This window comes from Homo sapiens, chromosome 11 (genome assembly GCF_000001405.40).
Source record: "Homo sapiens chromosome 11, GRCh38.p14 Primary Assembly".
NCBI lineage: Eukaryota > Metazoa > Chordata > Mammalia > Primates > Hominidae > Homo > Homo sapiens.
Window position 1 is genome coordinate 107414613 of NC_000011.10, and position 25036 is coordinate 107439648.

The window sequence follows — 25036 nt, forward strand, 5'->3', positions numbered from 1 at the left end:
AACTCTCAATATATCCAAAACAGAACCTCTGATTTGCCCCAAAACCTATTCTTCCTTTTTCTTCCACAACTCAATTAATGGCTATTCTTTCAGCTGCTCAAGCTAAAAACCTTGGAGTCCTCTTTGCCTCCTCTCTTTAGCCCATTACCCACCCCCCACCTAAACCACCATAAAAATCCTGTCAGTTTTTCTTTCAAAATATATACATAAAGTATTTATACAAATACAAAATGCAATCACTTCTAACCATCTCCATAGCTACTATCTGTCTTGGTCAAAGCCACTATCATTTCTTATCTGCATTATTACAAAAGCCCACCTCTACTTCAGCTTCTGCAAACCGTTCTTAATAGAGAATCCAGAATGGTCCTGTCAAAATATGTTTTCTGCTTAAAACCATGTAATAGTTTCTCACCACCTCAGTCAGAAAAAAAAGTCCACCTCCTTACCATGACTTTCAAAGCTTAACATGATCTGGCCACCTATAGTCTCTCTAACCTGTATCTCCTACTTCCCTCTCTCATTTATTCCACTCCAGCAACACCAGTCTCGTTGCTATTCTTCCTACACATCAGACATATTTCCATCTTTGGGCCTTTAAATCTCTGTTCCCTATGACTACTGCGCTCTTCACTCAAATACACAGAAATTCACTCTTCCATTAACTACAAGTCCTTACATAAAGTCCTTACACTTTTTCAACAGAATTGGCCTGTGCATTCCAAGCCACCAACCCACCTGTCACTCAAAATTGCCACTACCCTGCCATAGGGTAACTTTCTGATACACTGTATTATTTTTTAATTTGCTTATCATTTTTATAATTTATTGTTTCCCTCCCTACCCAAATGAAAGTTCCATGCAGGTAGGTGTTTTTATTTGTTTTGTTCACTAACAGATAGATGAATTAATCATAGACCAAAGTAATTTGTTTTATATGAAATGAATAACTAATTCAAGTCTCTCATTCTGAAGGAGACAGTTAAGAAGCAGTTTGACTCATACAGAAGCAATCAGTAAGCAGCACAGTCCAGAATAAAAGCAAGACTCCTTGGTCTCAGCCCGAGGCTTTTTTCCACCAGAGCACACTGATAGAATGTAAGAGAATATATAGAAAACTAAATTTTTTAAAACAAGCATGCATACACATAAACACACAGACACATATACAGACACATCTCACATTAAAATATTACCACTGCCAGCTGGGCACAGTAACTCGCATCTGTAATCTCAGCACTTTTGGAGGTTGAGGCGGGTGGATCATTTGAGGTCAGGAGTTTGAGACCAGCCTGGCCAACATGGTGAAACCCATTTCTACTAAAAATACAAAAATTAGCCAGGCATGGTGGCGCACACCTGTAGTACCAGCTACTCAGGAGGCTGAGGCACAAGAATTGCTTGAACGTGGGAGGCAGAGGTTGCAGTGAGCCAAGATCATGCCACTGCCCTGCAGCCTGGGCGACAGAGCAAGACACTATCTCAAAAAAATAGATAAAATAAAATAAAAAATAAAATAAAATAAAATAAAATATTACCACTGCCCGGTGGTAGTTTACACAAGGTAATTACATTCTCCAAACTTTTATTACTTACCTCTACCCCAGATTTTTTTGGTATCTGTGTTATAGTTTCTTTGAATTTATTTGCCTTTTCAAGTTGAACTTTAAGTTGTTCAGCTAATTCCTTCAAAAAGAAAAACAAGTAAAATATGTGCGATATGTAGTTTAATTCTTTACGACAAAATGTTCAAATTTACACAACAGAAGGAAAAACAGCATAACCAACACTCATGTAGCCTTCATCTAATTTCAATTACCAACCCATAGCCTAGTATACTACTTTTTAATGAACTTATCTCAGTTACAAACTTCTTGAATACCTGTGACATGCTTCAAAGATAAATAATTATAAGGACATATATTTTGGAAGAGATAGATGAAGGAAATACATAACCTTAATGACATTTTAATAATTACTAAATATTACAAAAGTTCAATACTTTCAACTTCGGTTATTGGTAACAAAAAAGCTATCACAAGATTTAAACTGTTACCTTCTTTATTGTTGATAATTTAGATGAAAATTCCGAAGATATTTCATTTTTACTCTAGGAAACTTATAGAAATTTATATAAAACAACTGCCATATAAAGCAATAAACCATGAAGTAATACATTAAATAAGTAGATTTATGTGACATGCAAAGAATAGCAAGCACCACCACAGTGTTCTTCTTGAACACAAGAACACATATTTCACCCTTTTACCTAGATGACCTCTCTTTCACTATTTTAACTAATTCCTCTGTACTTTCAAAGCTCAAACTTTACTTTCTTGCTATCGTTACTGTTGTTGGTTTACTTCCCTTACCAATTTCTAGGACGAGTGGAAGTTCAGTGTTTCCAAGGATCAGATTCAAAGAGATAGAGCAGCATATGCAAGATATGCCCTTTATTAGACATAACACAGAAATATCTTGTTTGGTTACCATTTGTTCTACTACAGTATTGTACTAATAGTTTACCAAAACATAAGACTACTTAAAGATCCCTTATATTTGGGTTTGAGATGAGTGCATACATATGACCATGACTGAATCTATTCTATCAAGATGTGGAATATCTGGCTGTGCTATTCTGCCATGTGCACTTAAATATATACATCTCACTGTATATTATTTTAATATGCATGTGACAATAAGTGAATGGATGAATGGATAAATGCAGCTCTTACCAAATCATCCCTATTTCTTACAATTCTGAGGTAAATTAGTCTTAAATCAAACATTACTACAGGAATTAAATGAGTAAGCCTACACAAAGCATCTAACACAGTATCAGGCACAGCACATTTACTTAAAACTTGAATAAATGACTTAATCCTCCTTTTTAGGTTCCTAAGTAATTTGGAAAAGTAAAAAACATTCTTACAAATATATGACAAAAATGAGGTAGAAAAAGTGACATCTTTATCTCCCTTAAATATGCTCAATGAGTTACAAATGCAGGAATAAAGTAAATAGCCAAGTAAAAAAGAAATTTAAAAGCATGAAGTTCCTTAGTATCTTCAATTTCAGAGATCTGACAGAGAAAGTAGATCATTTATTTAGAAGTAGATAGTATTCTTCACAGAAAGGTTCGAGAATTTTTTTTTTTTTTTTGAGACACAGTCTCGCTTCGTCACCCAGGCTGGAGTGCTGCAATGGCGTGATCTTGGCTCACTGCAATCTCCGCCTCCCAGGTTCAAGCGATTCTCCTGCCTCAGCCACCCCGATAGCTGGAATTACAGGCATGCGCCACCACACCCAGCTAATTTTTGTATTTTTACTAGAGACAGGGTTTCACCATTTTGGCCAGGCTGGTCTCGAACTCCTGACCTCAAGTGATCCGCCTGCCTTGGCCTCCCAAAGTGCTGGGATTACAGGCATGGTGCCAGGCCTGAGAATTTCTTTAAGGAATCAATAACCAACAGTTATTTTCACAGTGTGCTATATCCACACTGCTAAGGAACTTCTAAAATTACTCATAAGAAGTTAAACATTTAATCATTATTCTCTAAAGCAACATCTAAGAGTCTTACCATATTCCCCATCATCTCTGCTTTGATAATCTTGGCTCCCAACTTGTTCTTCTCATCAACACTCAGGATGTGAATGGACTCACGCTCTGGACTGCTATTGGAATAGGAAAGATTAACAGCATATGAAATATAGGTGCGATGCAAGCAATAACATCAAGACTCAAATGTTATTTTAACTGACCTCAACAAAGCATTCAGTACCAATAGCAGATCATGATTGTAATACATGTAAATTAAACTCAATATTTTTCCACAAATTGATAAAGTTCTCTGTTACAATGCCACAACCACCTATGGCAGTTATAATAACTGATCAAAATCCCAATAACAATGAGATAAATAGTACTTATCAACTCTTCTTATTTAATATCCCCATACTCGTAACTTTAAAAAGGAAACAAACAAAAAACGTTCGAACCAGGCCATAATTCTATACATCTTTGGAAACTCTTCTCATTCGACATAAGTTGTTAATAATCTAAGAAACTATAAAATGATATATATATCTAACTGCATTCAAAGAATAAAAGCATTGATCGTGTGCTTTTTTGTAAAGTCAGTCCAGAACATAACATATAGTCAAATAATATAAACTAGTTTAAAACTGGTATCATGTGCCAAACCTATACTATGGAAGCCTCACACAAAAAAAGAAACCTCCAGCCAAGGTCAGATTTCCCTAGCTTACTGCCTTAAGAAATAATTCAAGGCTACAGTGCAGGACAGTGACCTCAGTCAGAGTCTGAAGGATTTCTGAGTAAAGGAGACATAGCCAGGAGTCCAAGAATTCCAAGGCAGCTAGAATTCACAGAACAGAGTACCAAAGAAGCGAAAGCTGCACCATAAGAAAATCCCAGAGAACTGCAGAGGGTTCCCCTTGAGTACTCAGCAAGAAACCACCTGCAGTCAGGGAAAGAACTAGCCCAGAGGATTGGAGGTAGAGTACCTGGCATTCCTGGGAACTGCTTATCCAGTCCCACTAGCTAGACTAGGAAATCACGTAATTCAAAAAGCACTAGACACAGTATTAAAGAGTCTTGCTTCATTAGTGGGAAACAGCATGCCCTAGACTAAATGCTGCTCTGGGCCCACCTAAAAAATGTTAAAACAAAAGTTAAAAGGATCAAATGTTTTCCAATTAATCAGAACAATATAAATATTCCAGAACAAAGCTCAGGAATATTTATAGAAATTCAAAAATGTCTAGCACTCAACAAGGTAGTCTGTAAAACTTAGTATCTAATCAATGATGATCAGACAGGCAAATAAGTAGAAAAACACAACCCATAATTAGAACAAAATGCTATCAGTCAAAATCAACCCAGAACTGACACAGATGTAAAAAACAGCAGACAAGGATACTAAAAGTGATTATTATAACTGTGTTCCATAGGTTCAAAAAGTCAGACACAACAAAGATATAAAAAAGATCCAAAATAAACTTTTACAGATGAAAACTACAATGTGTGAGATAAAAAATATATGGGTAAGATTAATGGAAAATTAAGCTGCAGAAGTAGAGTTTGGTGAACTTGAAGCAATATGAAAAATGAAACAGAGAAAAGAATCTGTAAAAATGAAAAGAGCATCAGAGGGCTGTGGGACAACCTTAAGTATCCCACCATACATGTAACGGAAGATAACTATTTTTAAAATATATTTGAGGTTTATAACAAGTATAAGTAAAATGTATGAGAACACTAACAGAAAGGAAAGAAAGGGAGAAATATAAATAAACAATGATAAAGTTCTTACACCATTCAGGAATAGCATATCACTTGAAGATAGACTATGATAAGTTAAAGGTATAGTACACCATCAAAGACAAAGCAACCACTATTTAAAAAAAAATATATAGCAACCAAGGAAATGAAATGGAATCATAAAAATAATCCAAAACAAGTAAGAAAAAGAGGACAAAGTGAAAAAAGAACAGATGGGAAAAATAGAAAACGAATAGCAAAGTTACATATTTGAACCTAATTATATCAACAACATTATATATAAATGGTCCAAATACCTAAATTAAAAGGCAGAAATTATCAGATGGATATAAAAGCAAAATTCAACTACAAGAAATGTTCTATAAATACACAGACATACGTATGTTAAACATAAAAGGATAGAAAAAGATATACCATGTTAATGCTAGTCAAAAGAAAGTTGAAGTGGCTACATTAATATCAAACAAACAAGATTACAGAGGAAAACAATATTACCAGGGACAAAGAACGTCATTTCATATGAAAAAGGAGTCAATCCAGCAAGAGCGTTTGAATACATGAGCAAAAACTGACAGAAGAGAAATAAACAAATCCACAATTATAGCTATAAATTTCAATACCTCTCTCTCAATATTTGATAGGATAAATATAATAGTCCCCCCCCTTATCTGCAGGAGTTATGTTCCAAGACCCTCAGTGGAAGCCTGAAATCTTGGATAGTACCAAACCTTATCTGTAGTATTTTTTTTCCTATATATACATACCTATGTTAAAGTTTGACTTATAAATAAGGTATAGTAAGACACTAACAACAACAACCAATAACAAAATAGTACAATTACAACAATATACTGTAATAAAAGTTATGTGACGGTGGTATCTCTTGCAGAATACTGTAATATTTTCAGAGCATGGTTGATCATGGGTAACTGAAACCTCAGAAAGCAAAACCATGGATAAAGGGGGACTACTGTAAACAGAATCAGCAAGCATAAGGAAGACCTGAATAATACTATCAACTAACATGCCCAAATGGACATCCATAGAACACACCACCCAACAAGAATAGAAGACACATTCTTTCCAAGTGCATACAAAATATTTCCTGAGATACACCATGTTCTAAGCTATACAAACAGTCTCATAAATTTAAAGGAATTCAAGTTGTATAAACTATGTTCTTTTATCACAATGAAATTAATTAGAAATCATTAACAAAAGTCTCTGGAAAATCCTCAACTATAATACTTGGAAACTAAATAGCGCAACTGTAAATAACCCATGGGTCAAAAATAAGACCAAAGGAAAATTATATGACACATGTCTGAACTGATGGAATGCTGCTAATTCAGGGGGAAATTCATAGCACTAAATATTTATATTAGAAAAGATCTCAAATCAATCACCTCATCTTACACCTTAAGAAAGCAGAAAAAGAGCAAATTAAAACAAAGTTTAAAAAATTCAAAAAACAATAAAAATCAGAGTAAAATAAATAGAAAATAGAAAAACAATAAATTCAGTGAAACCAAACGCTGATATTTAAGGCAATAAAATTGATAAACCTATAGCCTGCCTGATAAAAAAGAGATCTAAATTACTAGTAGAGAGGTAACAGCACTACACGTTGTAAGCACTTTACAAAAAGATATCCAGATGGCAAATAAGCACATAGAGAGATGTTCGGCATCAGTAGTCATTAGCCATTAGGGGAATACAAATTAAAACCACAATGAGCTACCACTACACATCCGCTAGAAGAGCTAAAATTTACAAGACTGACCATTCCAAGTTTTTACAAGGATGTGGAGAAACTGAAACTCTTATACACTGTTGGTGATCATGTAAAATGGTACAATCACTTTGGAAAACAGTTTAGCAGTTTCTTAGTATTTAAACATACAGTTACCATATGATTTAGCTACTGCTCTCCTAGGTATATTTATCCAAGAGAAAGGAAAGCATATGTCAACACAAAGATTTGTACCTGAATGTTCAGAATTGTACATAATTTATAATAGCCAAAACGTGGAAACAATCTCAAATTCACCAACAGGAGAATGGAAAAACAAATTGTGATGTACCCACCAATAGTATATTACCCATCAATAAAAAGGAATGAACTACTGACATATGCAACAACATAAATGAAGCTCACAATAATTACTCTGAGTGAAAGAAGACAGACCAAAAAGAGTGCATAATGTATGATCCCATTTACATCGAACTCTAGAAGATGCAAACTACGGTTGACCCTTGAACAACACAGGGGTGAACTGCCCAGGTCCACTTATACACAGATTTTTTTCACCCAAACGTCAATCAAAAATGCAGCATTCATGTGATGTAAAAACTACATATACCAGAGTAACATTTTCATACATGTGGGTTCCAACTTGAGTATGTGCGACTTTGGAATACTTGAGTGGTCCTAGAACCAACTCCCACGAATTCCAAGGGACAACTGTAGTCTATAATGAAAGAAAGCAGATGTGGTTGCCTAGGAGTGGAGAGCAGGGGTGTGGGAAAGCAGGAGAGAGAGATTATAAAAGGGCACAAAGGCTTTCAGGGGGGTGATGGTTTAATGAGAACATATGCATTTCAAAATATACCAAAATGTACACTTTTGTATATTTGCAGTTTATTATATGTCAATTATACCTCAAAGTTTTTTTAACCCTCAAAGGGAGTAATACATTTTAAAACCAGAGTATAACTAATTTGTCATAATCTTAAATATAAAGGATATATCTGGTATTATTAGTTTTCCTGAATTCCCAGATTCTATAATACTCTATAAAAATTAACCTTAATCATATTTTCTACAAATTTGGTTTTCCAAATCAAAACATGACCTACCAACAATATATGGAAATTATTTTTAAATAGTGAATTCTTCTGGGAGGGGAATCTTTTAACAGACAGATAGCATTGGAATAAAAAAAAATCTCTACAGAAAATGTATAGTAGCCATTTCTTCCCACATTGTTGAAAGGAAAGGCAATACTCTGGTGTTTAAGAAATCTAAAATATTTGAGGTAAAGCAACACTAGAAAGTAACATATTTTCATTCCCCTCATATTATTTCAGTCATTTTAAAAAACAATGAAAATGAACAGTAGGGACACTGCATTCATGTAAGCAGGAGAATGTTATTACTTTTTATATGCATCCGTGGGCTGAGTTATTGCTTGTTTTATTAGTTGTACTTTTTTGTATGGAAAATATTTTTCAGTACTTTTTCAAATTAAATGCTAAGGTACATGTCATTTTCATTGTATTGCAAATGTAATTTACCAGAATTTCTGGCAAACTAATCATATCTCTCTTTTACTTACTAACCAAAACAACTTTCCTCAATTTGCATTCTTTCACATTCAATTTTCCAAAATTCCCTGCTTTAAAAACTTATGTTTATGTTTATTATGTGGAATTATAGATATTACATTTTTACATGTATGTATAACACAAATTAAATAACCACAGTTCATGCCCTTTCTAAAGAGCACCAGTGCAATTATTCCCCTATGAAGTCGCTTTCTCCAGGGTCTGTCTCTCAAATTCTTGTTTCCTAAGTGAGAAACTTCTTGGCTTCTTTTCCTTCTGCCATTTGTACCTGACCAGGTTTTTCTTTCCAACTAAAGTTATGTCTAGTTCCTCCATTTCTCATCTCAACATCGGCCAACTAAGAAACCAAAGAACCAAAGAAAGGTTCTTTAGGATAACGAAGCTATTTACGCAGTATTTCTACAATCCTTTCTGTTATTCCAATAGATGCTTACTATAAACCAGATGTAGAACAAGTCCACACATAATCTCCTATTGAGCTCCATATCCAGAAATAAGTCATCTTGCAAGCAACCTTAAGTCTGACAGGATCAGAAGAATTAAAGACCAAGCCATCCATCAATCCATCTCCTTCTCTTGAGGAGAAATGTTTGAGGATTATTAACACAAACGACTACATCAAATGTCAATATGACAATAGATACCTACTAATATATATGAGCAAAAAAAAAAAGTATAAATACCTAAAAACAGGGTACTAATCAAATTCTCAGTTTCTAATGTGAGCTTCTCATGAAGAACTAGAAGTTGTTTCTTTATAATACCAATACCAATCATAACTGACTCTCCATATATAGATCAAGGGGATCACCAATATTCTGGGAATCATATGTCAAAAAAATACTGGCATTAAGTCATTAAGAAATAATTCCTCAAATTTCTCCCTTGTCACCCACAATCTGTAGCCACATTTCCCTCTTTTTTTTTTTTAACTATCTCCACCCAAAGCTAATCCTTCTACTTTTATAACTGAAATGGACCCCACACTCACCCATACTAACCTCAGGGATCTTGCTCAGTTGCCCCATCTATCATCTGCCTAGCTGTCTTGCTTCTTCTAAAAAGGATACTGACTCTTTTCCATTAAATATAAACATGTTCTAGTATAAATACACTTTCTATCTCTACCATTCCATAACTCTTAATAATTTAGTCTACTAAAATCTGGCTTCTATACACCCTTTTATAATAAAAAAAAAAAAGCCCGGATTAAGTAGCCAAAGAAGTTTGTTATTATCCATCCAAAGCGCACATCTTTGTCATTTTACTTTCCTCTTCCCCTCACTTCCCAGGATAAAAGTTTAGATATTCAATCAAGGAAGGGCAATGAAGGTAGGCTGAAGTGCATCTAAAGCCCACGAGTTCCAGAAGATAACTAGAATCTCAATAGATCTTTAAAAGAGGTGATTTCCATTGTCATGAAATGGAATGCTCCACACAATTTTTTTAGTATTTTCTAACAAGAATTAAATTGTTTATTAGTAGATGAGGATAAATGACAAAAATATACAAGAATTCTGAACATCTTTTATAGTAGTAATTTCAACATTAAGTTACTTGAACACAATGTAACAGTAATAGGTGTCAAGTAAAGACATTTAAATGAAAGTTGTTGAGCACAAAGTAACTGAAGAAAATATTATTCTATTTTATTTTGTGAACACCACAGCAAAGACACTGTTCTACAGCAAACATCAGGGAATGGGCTCTTCCTTTCTTTCCCCAAGTGTTTATAATGATGAGCAAATGCTTTGAAAGAAACATCACCATGACACCTGCAATTATCCTGCAAAAAGAAAAAAAGCCCAAACATGTCTCAATTTCAAGAATTACTGCTATATTTCAGAAGTCCTTTTTATAATTAATTTCTAAAAAGCAAATCCTATTTTCACATTAAAATGTACTCTCTTTGAAACACACACACACACACACACACACACACACACACACAAAGAGGTTGAAAACCTTTGAGAAATAAGTAACTAAAAGAGCTCTAGCCCAGTAACATTTTTAAAACCTGAAATTAGTCATGCATAGCATAACGACGTTTCACTCAACGACAGACCACATGACAGTAATCCCGTAAGATTATAATGCTGTATTATTACTGGACCTTTTCTATGTTATGTTTAGATACACAAATACTTATCATTGTGTTACAATTGCCAACAATGCTCAATACAGTAACATGTTCTACTTTGCAGCCTAGAGGCAACAGGCTGTACCATATAGTGTAGGTATGCACTAAGCTTAAGTACACACTACGCTGTCCACACAATGACATCACCTAATAATGAATCTGCCTAATGACAATTTCTCAGAATATATCCCCACTGTTAAGCCACATATAATTTTATTATTCTTGTGCTGGCAGTGTTCACAGATCTCCCTTATTTACCAGCTGCTCTCATATTTGCTTCCTTGCTTAAAGATCTCACAACTATACTCAAAGCCTTCAGAATCTAGCATCCTTTGCTTGCCCTTCTGGGCTACAGTAACAAACTCTGCCAAGAATGACATCCAAAGGTTAAAATATTATATAAAATGGGTTAGTTTCTGATATTAAATTTGTAAAACCAAAATTAAGGACTTCTCATTAATTTTTGTTCACATTACATACTCCTCTAAGTTTTAAATTCCTGGAAATACTTAGCCAATATATTTTCTAACACAAGAAAAATATATGCAAAAGCACATTTCATTTCTAATAATAAAAAGCTCAAGGTTCTCAATTGCATGGCAGTGGACGTTTTTCTGCTAGTTAACATAATCGCAGGGCCTAAAATGAATAAAGAAAAAGAGTGATAAATTTGAACACATTAAAGAAAGAATGAAAAATGAAAGGAAATTTACAAATGATGAAAAATCTATTTGTATTACATGACAAATATAAAGAGCTCTCACAAACAAACAATAGCTCAAAAAAAGGGCAAAACATATGACTAGTTAACAAAAAAATACAAATAAACAACACATAAAAATATGGCAAACTTCACTCATATTTAAAAAAATAAAAATCAAAGAGTCTGTTTCTCAACTACACATATGGCAAAGATTTAAAAAGTTCAATAATACTATCAGCAAGAAGTAGGAGAAAAGTCATTCCAATGCAATATAAAAGTCTAAATTGGTTAATACTGCAAAATATGTAAAAAGTAAAATGCATGTACTCTTTGACCTGACAGTTCCACTCCTTGGAATTTATTTTACAGCTATATTTAAATAGCATGCAAAGATACTCACAAAAAATTAAATGCGGAATTGTTTCTTAGAGCAACAAAGTGGAAACAACCTAAAATTCCATCAATAGGAAACCAGTGAAAAATATTAGGTTATGCCTAAGTTTTACAATGGAGTATTAAAGAGCCTTTAAAATAAAAAAATGTAGGTACATATGGGCTAAAGTAAAAAGATCTTTAAGATATACTTATTGGGAAAAAAAACCAAGATTTTGAATGGTATATGCATTGTAGAGCTATTTAACTTACATATATTAAATATATAAGTTATGTTTTTATAAAATTTTATACATTAAGTTAAATATATATATTACACATTTTCAAATACACTAAAAAATTTGGAAAGACACTACCAACACTGTTAACCTGGCAAATAGGATTAGGGTTGGAAGTGACATGAAAGGGAGATTTACTTTTTCATTTTATACTCACCTATGCTTCATATTCTTGTTTTATACTCTTCTGTCTATATTGTTTAAATTTTATACATATACATTTATTAAGATTACAAATGGCATGTTCTAAAAAATAATACTGGTGTAAATAACAAGAAAGGTAAAGATATATGAACAATACATACAAAGAAGTAAAAACTAATTCAACTAATTTTTCCAATCATGACCATTCACTTATAAGACAAAGATTATTTGTAACAACTAGGCATTCTTCAAGGTCCTGTCTTGGTCTCCTACTTTACAACCACTCTACATTCTCAGGAATCTTTTTTTTTGGATGATTCCTAGATTTTTCTTTCCCTCTCCAGCCAGTCACAGAATTCATAGAAAGCCTCAAACCCTCTGTACCATCAAATTAACACAGCGAACAAAGAATACTGTCTTCAAAGGAAAAATTACATGTATACATACATATATATACACACATATATAGCTTTTAGTGAGTGCTGTCTTCAAACCGAAAAATTATATACATACACAGCTTTTAGTGAGTGCCTGTATTATAGTGTATCTATCAGAAGCTTACAACTTAAATAAGACATACAAATATGCAGCAATCAGACAACCGGTTGGAATACTAATCGTGTGGTATTACTTTGCAGACATTTTGCTTAGCTACAGTCACAGAAGAAGGCCTACAGATCATCCAAATGCTAACCCAATCCTAATGATATCAGGAAATAAGAGCCTCATTCCCCTAGTGACTGGGAACTGGAAATAGTCTACCACCCAGGGCACCTGGAGTGAAGACTGGACAATTACATATGCATACAGCCTTAGACAATAATCCCTGCCATGTTTGTTTAGTCAATACAATTGGATTTCTCCTTCCACTTCCTGGGAGGAAAGCCCTGATGTGAACCAGAGTCCATTTGACTGGGGCTTAATCACTCAGTTCAGATTTTGCCAGCTCCCTCCCACCGAAAATTACACACTGAGTTTTATAATCCACTGCTTCAGATGGAGTCATTAACAAAAGTGATTTATCAGACTCACAACCCCAAACCACAGTGCTTTTATCTACTACAACCATGTGTTTCTATTATTTCCTAAAACCTCTTCCTTTAGTGTCCCACTCATTTGGTGCTATTTTTAAACATATTTTAATGATCATTCACGTGTAAGTTGTTACCCTTTGGACACTTTTTTTTCTGGCTATCTCCAACAGGGCCAGCAAATTTCTAAAGCAAATTTTCTTAGGTTTAGTCCCATTCAACCTGGGTTTCCTCATCTTCTAACCCAGCCCTACATAAATGCAACATATATTTTATATTTAAAACTCTAATATTATCTTTAAAATCTGTCAATTGCCCAAAGTGGATTATTTCTTTCTTTGTGCAAAATAACAACCATAATTCATGCTCCCCTCTGCAAGATCTCTGGCATGTATTTGTCACTTTATATTTGGGCCGTGGCAGCGTGTTTTCCTTTTGTCTCCTAGACTTCCTATAGACATGCAGTATTTATGATTATGATTATACTCAACAATAAGATAATTTCCTTAGAAAGTAATGGCATTGGTAACAAAATCTACCAAAATATCTCCTGCAGCACATACATTTAAAACATTAACTCATTCAGTTTTTTAAATTGCAAAGCAGCAACATATTTTGAACAAATATAGCTACTGCTTTCAGCTCTTAAAAAAAAAAAAACCTATGAAATAAAATGCAATCCATACCACAATACTGCCTGTTAAATCTGCATATCTTACCCCTTCTATCAATTTTAAGAAATGTGAGATCATAGTCACAGCTAATAACTGATGTTCTAAAAATACAGTTCTGTTCTTTGAACTCTCTGGATCTTAACTTATTAGGTTAAAAAATGATAAAATACCCAGCAAATGTAGACTTTGTATCCCGTAGATGTTCTTTTTTTGGAGGGTCATCTCTCAAGACTTCATCTTGTGATTTTTCTCTTGGGTCTTCTGGAACATGTTGGTGTTCATCAGTACTGGTTTCCGATGGCTTTTGATTTGAATGTTTCTTGTCTCCTCTCCCATCAGAGCGACTCCATGATGTTAATCTTTCTTCACTGTTCTTGGTGGGTTTTCTAAAACCACTACACAAAGAGCCCTGAGCTACCAATGCTGAAGATGAACTAAGTGGTTCAAATTTTCTGCCCTTGCTGTGAAATGACAGTTCTTCATCATCAGAGGGTCTCAAGAATTTAGCTCTCAAATTGCCAAAAGAAAACTCTTGATTTTGCCTTGGGTTAGATTCTCTTCTACACGTTTCTAAAGACCCAGGTCTCTTATCTTTTTCATCACCAATAAATTTTTCATTATTGCTATTTTTTGCAGTATCTGTTGTAGCATATCTATCCCTTGAACTGTTACCATATTTTACTAAGTCTGATTCTCTACTTTCTTGACAATTTTGTGCTTTATCTGAATATGTGGGTTTCCTCCACCGTTCCCGTCTATAATCTTCTTTCGTGGATGCAGCTTTTTCAGCATCTTCTAATTTTGACTGAAATATTTCCATTGACTACAAAGGAGAAAAATTAAACAAGATATCTAAAATTAGGAACGGCTCAGTGACTTGCACCCCACATGTCACTGTATGACTCACTGCCAAGTGGCACACTGAAAAGCCCACTAACGGGGTGAAAGAAGACCCATACAATCATCCTATACGGAAACGAATACTTTCTAAAAATGTGTAAACAATTAAAAATTATTAAATAACAAAAAGATTCCAAAAGGATAGCCAGTTACACCAAACACTCTGCACTAACACAAAGTATAACACAGAAAACAGTAGAGACAAACTTTGCAAAAAATACTTAATTCCTACTGGTTGTGAGATTCAAGAGGTTAAATTGCTAAAACAGATTCTCACCAAAAAAAAAAAAAAAAACAGAATAGTTCAAGAACAAGAAAGACTTGGAAATAAAAAATTGTGTGTCCCAAAAAGCTGCCAAGATACACCAAAAGGAAGAAAAGACAGTGCTGAAAACTAAATTAACCTGGGAATTCTCTATATTTTAGGAAAAGGTAGTAAATAAATGTAAGTTATAAGAAAAAAAGATACATGAACAATTGATTCTAGAAAATCTAATATGCATTTATTAGTACTTCCAGAAAGATGGAGCAAAGATGATGGGAATAGAGCATTAATTTTAAAAATATATAAGAAAATTTCCCCAGCCGATTTCTCAGAAGGACTCATCCAATAGCCTTGGGTGGGGGAGAAAGAAGAAAAACACAGAAAAAAACCCTAATACCTGAATCTCAAAACTCAAGGAAAAAAAAAAAAACCTTTACAAGGACTAGATCAGGGAAGGAGTGAATAAGTGTGAGCCTGTATATGGATAGGGGTAGATAAATAACAAATTATCCACAAAGGAAAGACAGACTTACAGCTGTTCATCCATAATAATAAGTAAATAATAGAATGAAGATTAAATTTTGAAAACAAAATTAAGCTATAATTCTATATAGAGAATTCAATTCACAGTCAAATTATCCTTCCTTGGTATGGGCCAAAGAAAATCATTTTCAAAAATGCAGGGAATCAGAGGGCATATCACTAGCAATTCTGAGGGAAAAAAATTACTCAAGATGATTAAGACACACCATCAATGAATTCGGGCAAAGATCTCTGAAAAAAAGAACAGATGCTAAAAACCAAATGTCAAATGCAATGGTCAAGTCTAAATAACTGTTCTTGTAGTTGCAAACTTTAAAACAATTTTCAAGGAAAAGATGCATCATACATAGAAACAGAAAGTAGGAAGGTGGTTACTGGAAGGAGAGGGGATGAGAAGATGGAGGTCAAAGAGTCAGAAGTTTCCATTATGTAAGATAACTAAGCCTGGAGATACGATGTACAGTATGAGGACTACAGTTAATAATATCACATTATATACTGAAAATTTGCTAAGAGAGTAGATTTTAGGTATTTTTACCACAAAAAAAAAAGGAGAATAACTACGTAAGATAAATGATACACTAGTTTGCTTAACTCTAGTAATTATTTCCCCATGCATATCAAAACGTCATGGAATACATACCTTAAACATATACAACATAAAAAATAAAAAAATAAAATTAAAAAAAAACAAAAAAGTACCTTTTACTCAACTTTGAATATAAGGATACTTAAACATGATACTCTTAATCTTAAATGCAAAAGTCATTATTTTGTCTTTAGACAAAAAGGCAATACCAGCTTCCAATCCTGTTATCAAAGTTCTAAAATTATAACTATTTCAAGAAGAAAAGAAAGTTTAAGTATTAACAGAGAGGAAAAAAACAAAATAATTATTTGCATATAACTACCTTTCCACATAACCCAAAATTTTTAAAATTAGGATAATAAAAGTTTAAAGAATTGGCCGACCAGCACCAACACCAAGTCAGAAAACATTTTTAAAATTCAATTTATAATATAAAAAAATAAAAATAACCTCAATGGCATATGCATAATAACTGCACAGAGAAAAATACTGAAGAGCATAAATAAATAGTGTTTTGGGATGGGATGACTCTATATTATAAAGATACTAGTTGTCCTTAATTTATCTATACATTTAGTTAAATTTAAATAAAAACTCCAAAAAGAGTCGTAAATTTATAACAAATTTTGGAAAAATATTTATTTCTATTGAGCTTAAACTAAATTTACTAAGAAAACTAAACACATAAGAAAGCAAAGCTAATTTTTTTGGTGACTAACAAGAGATTTATCACATAGTGACTACCACATAGTAGGTGTTTATTATTTGCTATCTGCATAATTTACTGAAAACCACAATAATTAGAAAAGTATGATACAAATTCCAGGAAAAGATAGAAAAATCAATGAAACAGATCCGAGAGTAAAGGAACAGACCCATGTATATGAGAAAATTTAATGTATAACAAATGTGTCATTTCAAATTAGTGAGAAAAAATAATTCATTCAATATATAGCAAACAACTATATAAGACTTATGCAAAGTTTGATGCCTATTTCATACCATGCACAAATATATATTCCAGAAAAATTAAAGATAAAACATAAAAAATAAAACTGAACAAGCACTCAAGTAAGTACAGCTGCATATTTTTACGATTGTGGGGTGGGGAAGGCCTGTCAATAAATTATACCAAGAGCACTAATTCATGAAAAAATAATATGAGGGATTTTGATAGGTAAAAATATTTAAAACTTATCCATAGCAAATTATCAACGAAGTAAAAAACATCAAGCCGAGGGGGAGAAATCTGAACAGATTTATTAAAAAGTCTTAAATTATTATCCCAAAAGAAAAATGGAAAACAATATCAATAGTCAATTCACTAAAAAATACAAATGGTCAAAATAAATGTAAAAAAATTCCAATTCGGCTGGGCGCAGTGGCTCACGCCTGTAATCCCAGCACTGTGGGAGGCCAAGGTGGGCAGATCACGAGGTCAGGAGTTCAAGACCAGCCTGACCAATATGGTGAAACCCTGTCTCTACTAAAAACTAAAAATACAAAAATTAGCCAGGCGTGGTGGTGTGCTCCTGCAGTCCCAGCTACTTGGGAGGCTGAGGCAAGAGAATCACTTGAACCGAGGAGGCAGAGGTTGCAGTGAGCTGAGATCGTGCCACCGCACTCCAGCCTGGGTGACAGAGCAAGACTCCACCTCAAAATAAAAATAAAATTCCAATTCACCAGTAAACAAATGTATAAAAACAAAAGCAAAACTTAAAAACTCTGCCAATCACAACAGCATGAACTATAAGAACTAATCTTACTGTTGAAAATTATGTGATAAAAGAGATATTTTTAAGTATGATTTGCTCATTCTTTCTGTAGAGAAATCTGGCAATATGTACCTTGCTTTAAATGTCTATATCCTTTAAACAGGCAATTTCACTTTTAGTAATTCACCAACAAGAAAAATATGCAAAATGCATTGGGCATAGACAGTCAGCACAGTGCTATCTAACAAGGGAAAGGAAAAGCATATAAATGGTCATCTACTGACCAATAAATAAAGGAAAAGCCTATAAATATATTAAAAAAATTAACAGGTCATTAAAATGTATATATTTACTGGCATCCAACTATGTGTACATTATTAAGTTTAAAAAGCCAGGGCATATTCTACGAGTCTACTTTAAAACTCTGGGGGAAAATATCTGGAAAAATATATTCCAGAAATCTTACTACTTTCTAAACCTGCTTTCCCCCGGCAATTGAAGAGAAAAAAAAGAATATCAGTAATTACTGCAATAGAAAGATTGTCCAGAACGATGGGGAAACTGGTTCTAAAATATATACTGTTGCACAGTTTCATTGTTTTAAGAGTATATATACACTCTTTTAAAAAAATCCGTAAAGTACCCAAACTCTAGAATATACCTAACTCTGGAATATAAAAAATTTCAACAGTGGTTACCTCCAGAAGTGTACCATGCAGACTTTCCGGCATTGTTTAAATTTTCTCACAATAAGAAAATTTTTTTTACATTAAACACACCCACATTTAAGTTTTATATACTTAAGCTTTACATTCATTATGTCAATAAAAATATGATACATGTTTAATAATAATGAAAAGCAGAAAATTACTTCAGTAGTATAAAGACATGAAATATTAATTCAATTCTTCATGGCACAAAACAAAGCTAAAGGCACTTAATTTTTCACCTAATTCTGAAAATAAGAGGCATCTCCTTAAAACAGATACTCACCCCATATCTTTCGGCTACAATGTCCTCAAAGTTTCTACTTTGTTTCTCAGCTTGTTCCTTCATTCTTAGATAAGATTTCCTTAGCCAGCTTAATCCACCATCTTCTACCACTGAAACTAAATTCCAGTATTAAATATTAGTTATACTTTTAATGTGGTTATCATACAATTAATATGTATTGCTTCTATGACTTCTAAAATATAAAAATAAATATTTTTCTTTAAATATATAAGTGCCTTTGGAATTTTATATATATATATATATATATATATATATATATATATATATTTCAGTGCCTATATGTAAGCCACAGAGTTTTGCCACTAGAAAGAAGGAAAAGAAAAATAAAACTATAAGAAAATTGCAATCTAAGAGAATAAGAATAAAAGGACATAATTAATTACAATAAAAATAATGTGACCGCTACTATAAAAAGATATAATGGACTCTAGAAAGTAGGAGGTCAGGGAAAACTCCACAAACCAGGCTCAAGAAAATGAGTTGGGTTTCTATTTCAAACAGGCAAGGGTAGGGAGGACATTCCAAGAAATAATTAAGGAATAAAAGGACACACAGAGAAAGGGAGAGAAAAAAAGCTACCTCAGCTGCAGAACAAAGAACAAATAAGGAGGCTATGGAAGATAATGCCAAAGTGGATGTTAAAACAAATTATCTTACTTTAGTCATAATTACCAACCATGAACATTTGAAAGCCTTCAACTAATTTATTAAGCTGGCTTTATTTTCTTCTTTACACATCACGCTTTGGATATGTGTAAAGAGGAAATCAAATCAATTACTTAATAAAAATTCTGTTCCTGATTTTCCTTGCCCCAGAACATGACTGCTTTAAGATCGCCCCAGCTCCATAACCAACAAAAATGCACACACATTAACCCCAAGACATATACAAGAATATTCATAGCAGAACACTGCAATAATCCCAGCCTGGAAACAACCTAGGAAATGTCTACCATCAGTACACAGGACACCTACATTGTGATATATTCCTAAAATATACTATTTAATATTACACAGCAAAAAAAAAAAAAAAAAGAAAAAACTACAACTATATACAACAATATGGATGAATCTCAAAATGTGGGCAAAAGGAGCTGGAAACAAAGGAGGATAAACTGATTTCTGGTGCTAGAAAACAGAATAATGGTTACCCTTCTGGTGACAAGGTAGTGACTAGAAGGGTCACAAAGGGGGCTTCTGGGATACTAACAAGATTTTTCAAACTGTGTGCTGAGTACACAAACGTTTTCATTTTATGAAAATGATCAGTCTGCTGCTGTACACTTGTGGTTTGTGTATTTATGTACATATATAATATATATGTAAGCTATTGTAGGAAGGTTTTTATATTCATAGTAAATATTCACTAAATATTTTTGAATATTTTTATATATGTCACATTTCAATAAAAAGTTTACTTAAAAACAGATTTTTCAAGGCTCAAATTAATTCCATTCTCCCATTCAGATCTCAAAAGTTTATCTTTACTAAGCAATCTCTCCTAATACGACTTTTCTTTATAGGCCTAAAATATTTTGTACTTCAAAACCTAGATCTCTAATGCAATGATTTCACATTTTATTCAAAAGCTTATTTTACTCTTGCTTTTTTGTTGTTATTTATATAGTTCATGAGTTCAAAATTAACTATGCAACCACTTGAGGAAGTTAGTCTAAATCCGCAATCTACACAGCGGTAAGTAAAAGAAATCCACAGTAATAAATACCTATATGAATGTCTCAGCTACAAAATTGTTTCTTCCATAAAATTATCTGTGAAACTGATAAAATGCTGATGGACATAGTAAAAATTTCCTGAACAATCACTAAAACATAATAGCTCAGAAAAAAAAAATCAGAGAAAAAAGTAAGACTATTCCTCTATGTTAACATTTATGAAGGAAATCCAATGGGAGTAAAAATTTTCAGCCAATTCCTTCACTAGTTAAATCCATACAATTTTAGAAATATTTATATAATGATTTCACCTTTAGTTGATAATATGTTCTATCTCAATAGTCCTATTAATCTTATAATTAGAGATGGCAATAATGAAGTCTTTTTGGTAAGAAAAAAATCACCAAATTTAATATTTAAAAAGCGAATAAAAAATACCAACTTGCAGTACCATCCCAAAATTCAATAAAAAAAAATTTAGTCAATATTTATTATGAATATAAAAACCTTCCTACAATAGGAAGTACAAACATGAATGTACAAGGCCAGGTGCAGCGGCTCACGCCTGTAATCCCAGCACTTTGGGAGGCCAAGGTGGGCAGATCAGGAGGTCAAGAGATCAAGACCAGCCTGGCCAACATGGTGAAACCCTGTCTCTACTAAAAATACAAAAATTAGCTGGGTGTGGTGGCATGCACCTGTAGTCCCAGCTACTCGGGAGGCTGAGGCAGGAGAATCGCTTGAACCCAGGAGGCAGAGGCTGCAGTGAGCCGAGATTGCACCACTGCACTCCAGCCTTGTGACAGAGCGAGACTCCACACGCCCCCCGACCCAAAAAAAAAAAAAACAAACCCATGAATGTACAATAGGAAGTACAAACATGAATGTAGCATGGTTCAGGTCCTCTATGCTGAGAAAAAGATATATCAAATAATTATATAAATTCACTGATATGTGGCACTTAACATACACCTAGATTTCAAATCTGTTATTTATAAGTAAAAAATGAAGAAACTTCCATCATATGCTTCCATCATAACTCAAAGTTACACTGTTATAGACCAAATATTAATACAACCAAATGAATCTGGGCTATATTACCCAACTCTCTCAGAAAACAGACTAACATAAAAATAGTGATAAACTATCAGGAAACCTAGATTTTAGTCTTGCTGCTACTATTAAATATATGTAAAATCTTATGTATGTCATTAACTTCTTTGGACCTTTGCTCCTTCATCTCTAAGATAAGGCAGCCAATTTAAACCACCTTTCAAAGTCTTTTCAACTCACATTCTAGCAGAAAAAGCCAAAAAATAAAAAGGGGGAAGAAATCAATAGGAAGAACAAAATCACATCAAAGGAGTCTGTAAGCAAGAATTCCTACTAACTACATGGTAATAAAAATAGTCTTCCACTAAAGAATCTAGAGTAACTAATGCTGGACTAGGAATCAGAAGACCTGGGTTCTAGTACTACTAACACGACTACCAGAAAAATTACCTGGCCACTCTAAGCCTTGGTTTATTGAGCTATAATATTAAAATACTATCTACACTGCTGTCCTTTACATGGTTGCCAAGAAAAAAGCTGATATATAACTGTGCCATATAAACTCTAAAATTGTACAAATATTCCCATTACTAAAATATGACAAAATAATTTTGTATGGGCTCTGAAAATGATTAACCTACTTTTCCACTGAATTCTAAGACAAAAAATCAAGATTAACACAGTAATTATTGAAAATATGTCCCTTCAATCATTACAAAAACCTGTTGATAAAACCTTCCCAAAAGATTTAATCATACAAGTATCTGACATTACCATCATTATTGAGTAGTCACCATAATCCAGACACTGCTAAAACATTTTCTAATTTAATCTTCACATTAACTATATAAGATAGGTAATATCATTATTCCCTATTACATATGAATAAATTGGGCTCTGAGAGGCCAGAAAATGTCTCCACAATTATGAAGCTAATTAGTGGAAATGCCAACATTCTAATCCCAAGTAGACTGACTCCAAAGTCTAGTCCTTTAACAATAACACTATGTCACCTCTACCTCCTTAATACAGATATTGTAATACTTTTAGATGCCTAACAGTTCCACCCCTACCATCGGTCTAAATAGAATGACAACACTATCTACATATGCAGTAAAACCTGCCAATCATTTTTTAAAACTTAATTTCAACTCTGGGATCTTAGCCTCAGAAAGACAGAAGCTTTCTGTCATTTTTTCTCTTTCTGAATAAACATAAGATGGAAAAGAAGTGGTAAAAGCATGACATGAAGGGGAAGGGAGAAGGGCACTCTAAAAGCATAATTTTCTCCTAGTATCTTTGATTCTGCTGTTTCAGTCTGCTAAAAGATACCACCTAAAGTAAAACTCTGGATCTTCTCCACTCAGTAAAGAACCTGTCAACTGGCAAGATCCAAAGATTGGGTTTGTCAATTCTAGGTTTTCCTCAAAGAAATTTATGGACCATCCTCTGACATTAGGGATGGCAAAAGCCTAGATCATAAAAACAGCCCTACATAGTAATAGTTGAGTGAGCTAACTTATTGTTCCCTAAACTATCTATGAAACAGTATTTCAAAGAGAACCTTGTATGACTATAGTTACTATTACATAACTCAGCAGGGACACTTCTGCCTGAAGTTGAAAGAAAAAAAAAGAAACTGTTAACTATTACCAATAACTTTAGTAAAATTGCTAAATTAAGAAGGGACATGTAAGGTGGCTCTACTGTCATCTCTACATAAAATACAGAAGAATTTTAACAAATAACCAAAATAAAAATACATTATGTATAAAAAGCAGGAAAACATCCTACTGATAAATCACTAAGGTGAAAAGAGAACATCACAATTTGTAATACTACCATCTGTATAATGGGTTAGTTGTAATAAACTTTTGAGGTGTCAGCACAACACTTAATGGGAATATAAGTAATTTTAAAATTGTGTTATAAAGTATGCTTACGTGACATTTAAATATTTTGTCTCCATCTGCTGGAAAATAATAGCACTCTCCTAAGGTCAATACAAATTTTAAGAATTCTAGAAAAGCAGGAAATTCTGAATATACAAACCACATCTTTAGTTTTTATACATTATTTTCATGAAATTTCAGATACTTTTTATATTTTGTTACAGAATGTAACAAACCAAATGCATTATTATGTACTCATAGAATCATACTTTGTATTAATCCAGTTTAAGTAGAAACTCATATATGAGAATATTTTCAAGTATAAAACTATGTATTTAATTAACCTGCTCCAAATACATCATAATTAAAACAATCTTCCATAGTACTAATAATTTAAATTAGCCTTCCAAAGACTGCAAATTTTTATCAATGCTTTCTCATACGTAAACTTGGGTCATACACTTATAATACCAAAAGAAATGCCTGAGGCCAGGCGCAGTAGCTCACACCTGTAATCCTTGCACTTTGGCAGGACAAGGCAGTTAGGTCAAGGCTTAAGCCCAGGAGTTCAAGACTAGGCTGGGCAACATGGTGAAACCACATCTCTATAAAAAATTATCTGGGAGTGGTGACATGCACCTGTAATCCCAACTACTTGGGAGGCTGAGGTGGGAGGATCACTTGAGGGGGAGGTGGAGGCTGCAGTGAGCCATGATCGCACCACTGCACTCCCTGGCTGACAGAGCGAGACTCTGTCTCGAAAAAAAAAAAAAAAAAAAAACCCTGTGTGTCTATAATCAAAATGTAGAAATACCTTTAGTAATCGATGACACACTACAGTCTTCAGGTGGAAGACCTGTCCCACCATCCTTCCAGTACGGATTCAATTCTCTTTCCATCAGTTTGGACTAGAACAAATTATTTTCAGAGGTGAAATTTCAAAAAATTAACAAATTATAAAAAATTAACAAATAATAAATCTGAGACCCAGTTAATAGTCATAACCCTGGACAAATCATTTAAAACATTCTTAAGATATGCTGTTCTGTAACTTACAGGAAATGTCTAAATTCACATTCATTCAATGTTCTTATTTAATGCCTACTATATCTTAAAACTGTGCTAGTTGCAGAAGATTTAACTGTCAAAAATCCTGGTCAGCCCTTGCTAACTTTTAGTTCAGTATGGAACACAGACAATAAAAACAGACATGTACTTTGAAGACAGAAGTATACAGTACTGAGGATGCAAAAAGAATTCAAATCCCTCTCACAATAAAGGATCAAAGACTTCCTAGAGGAAGTAATATGTGCAGTCCAAGGATGAGCATAAATTAACCGCATTTTCTTTTTTTGTAGGGTAGGGAGTATAAA

The 25036-nt window shown here is 33.4% G+C and overlaps 1 protein-coding gene across 4 annotated transcripts in view; it reads right to left on the bottom strand.

The window, feature by feature from the left end:
• Nucleotides 1-25036, bottom strand: part of CWF19L2 (CWF19 like cell cycle control factor 2) — a 131466-nt gene that overhangs the window by 88253 nt on the left and 18177 nt on the right. For 2 of the 4 annotated variants that reach the window (XR_007062452.1, NM_152434.3), the window contains exons 6-10: nucleotides 24478-24571; nucleotides 19022-19137; nucleotides 14187-14839; nucleotides 3582-3675; nucleotides 1597-1686 (exon numbers count right to left, since the gene is read on the bottom strand). Coding sequence is in view for 3 of the 4 variants with exons in the window: in NM_152434.3 (NP_689647.2) it covers nucleotides 1597-1686; nucleotides 3582-3675; nucleotides 14187-14839; nucleotides 19022-19137; nucleotides 24478-24571 (1047 nt within the window). In the remaining variant the exon portion in view is untranslated. Of the gene's footprint in view, nucleotides 1-1596; nucleotides 1687-3581; nucleotides 3676-10160; nucleotides 10440-14186; nucleotides 14840-19021; nucleotides 19138-24477; nucleotides 24572-25036 lie in introns of those variants that run through there. The other 2 variants (XM_011542620.4, XM_047426419.1) reach the window with 2 other exon arrangements.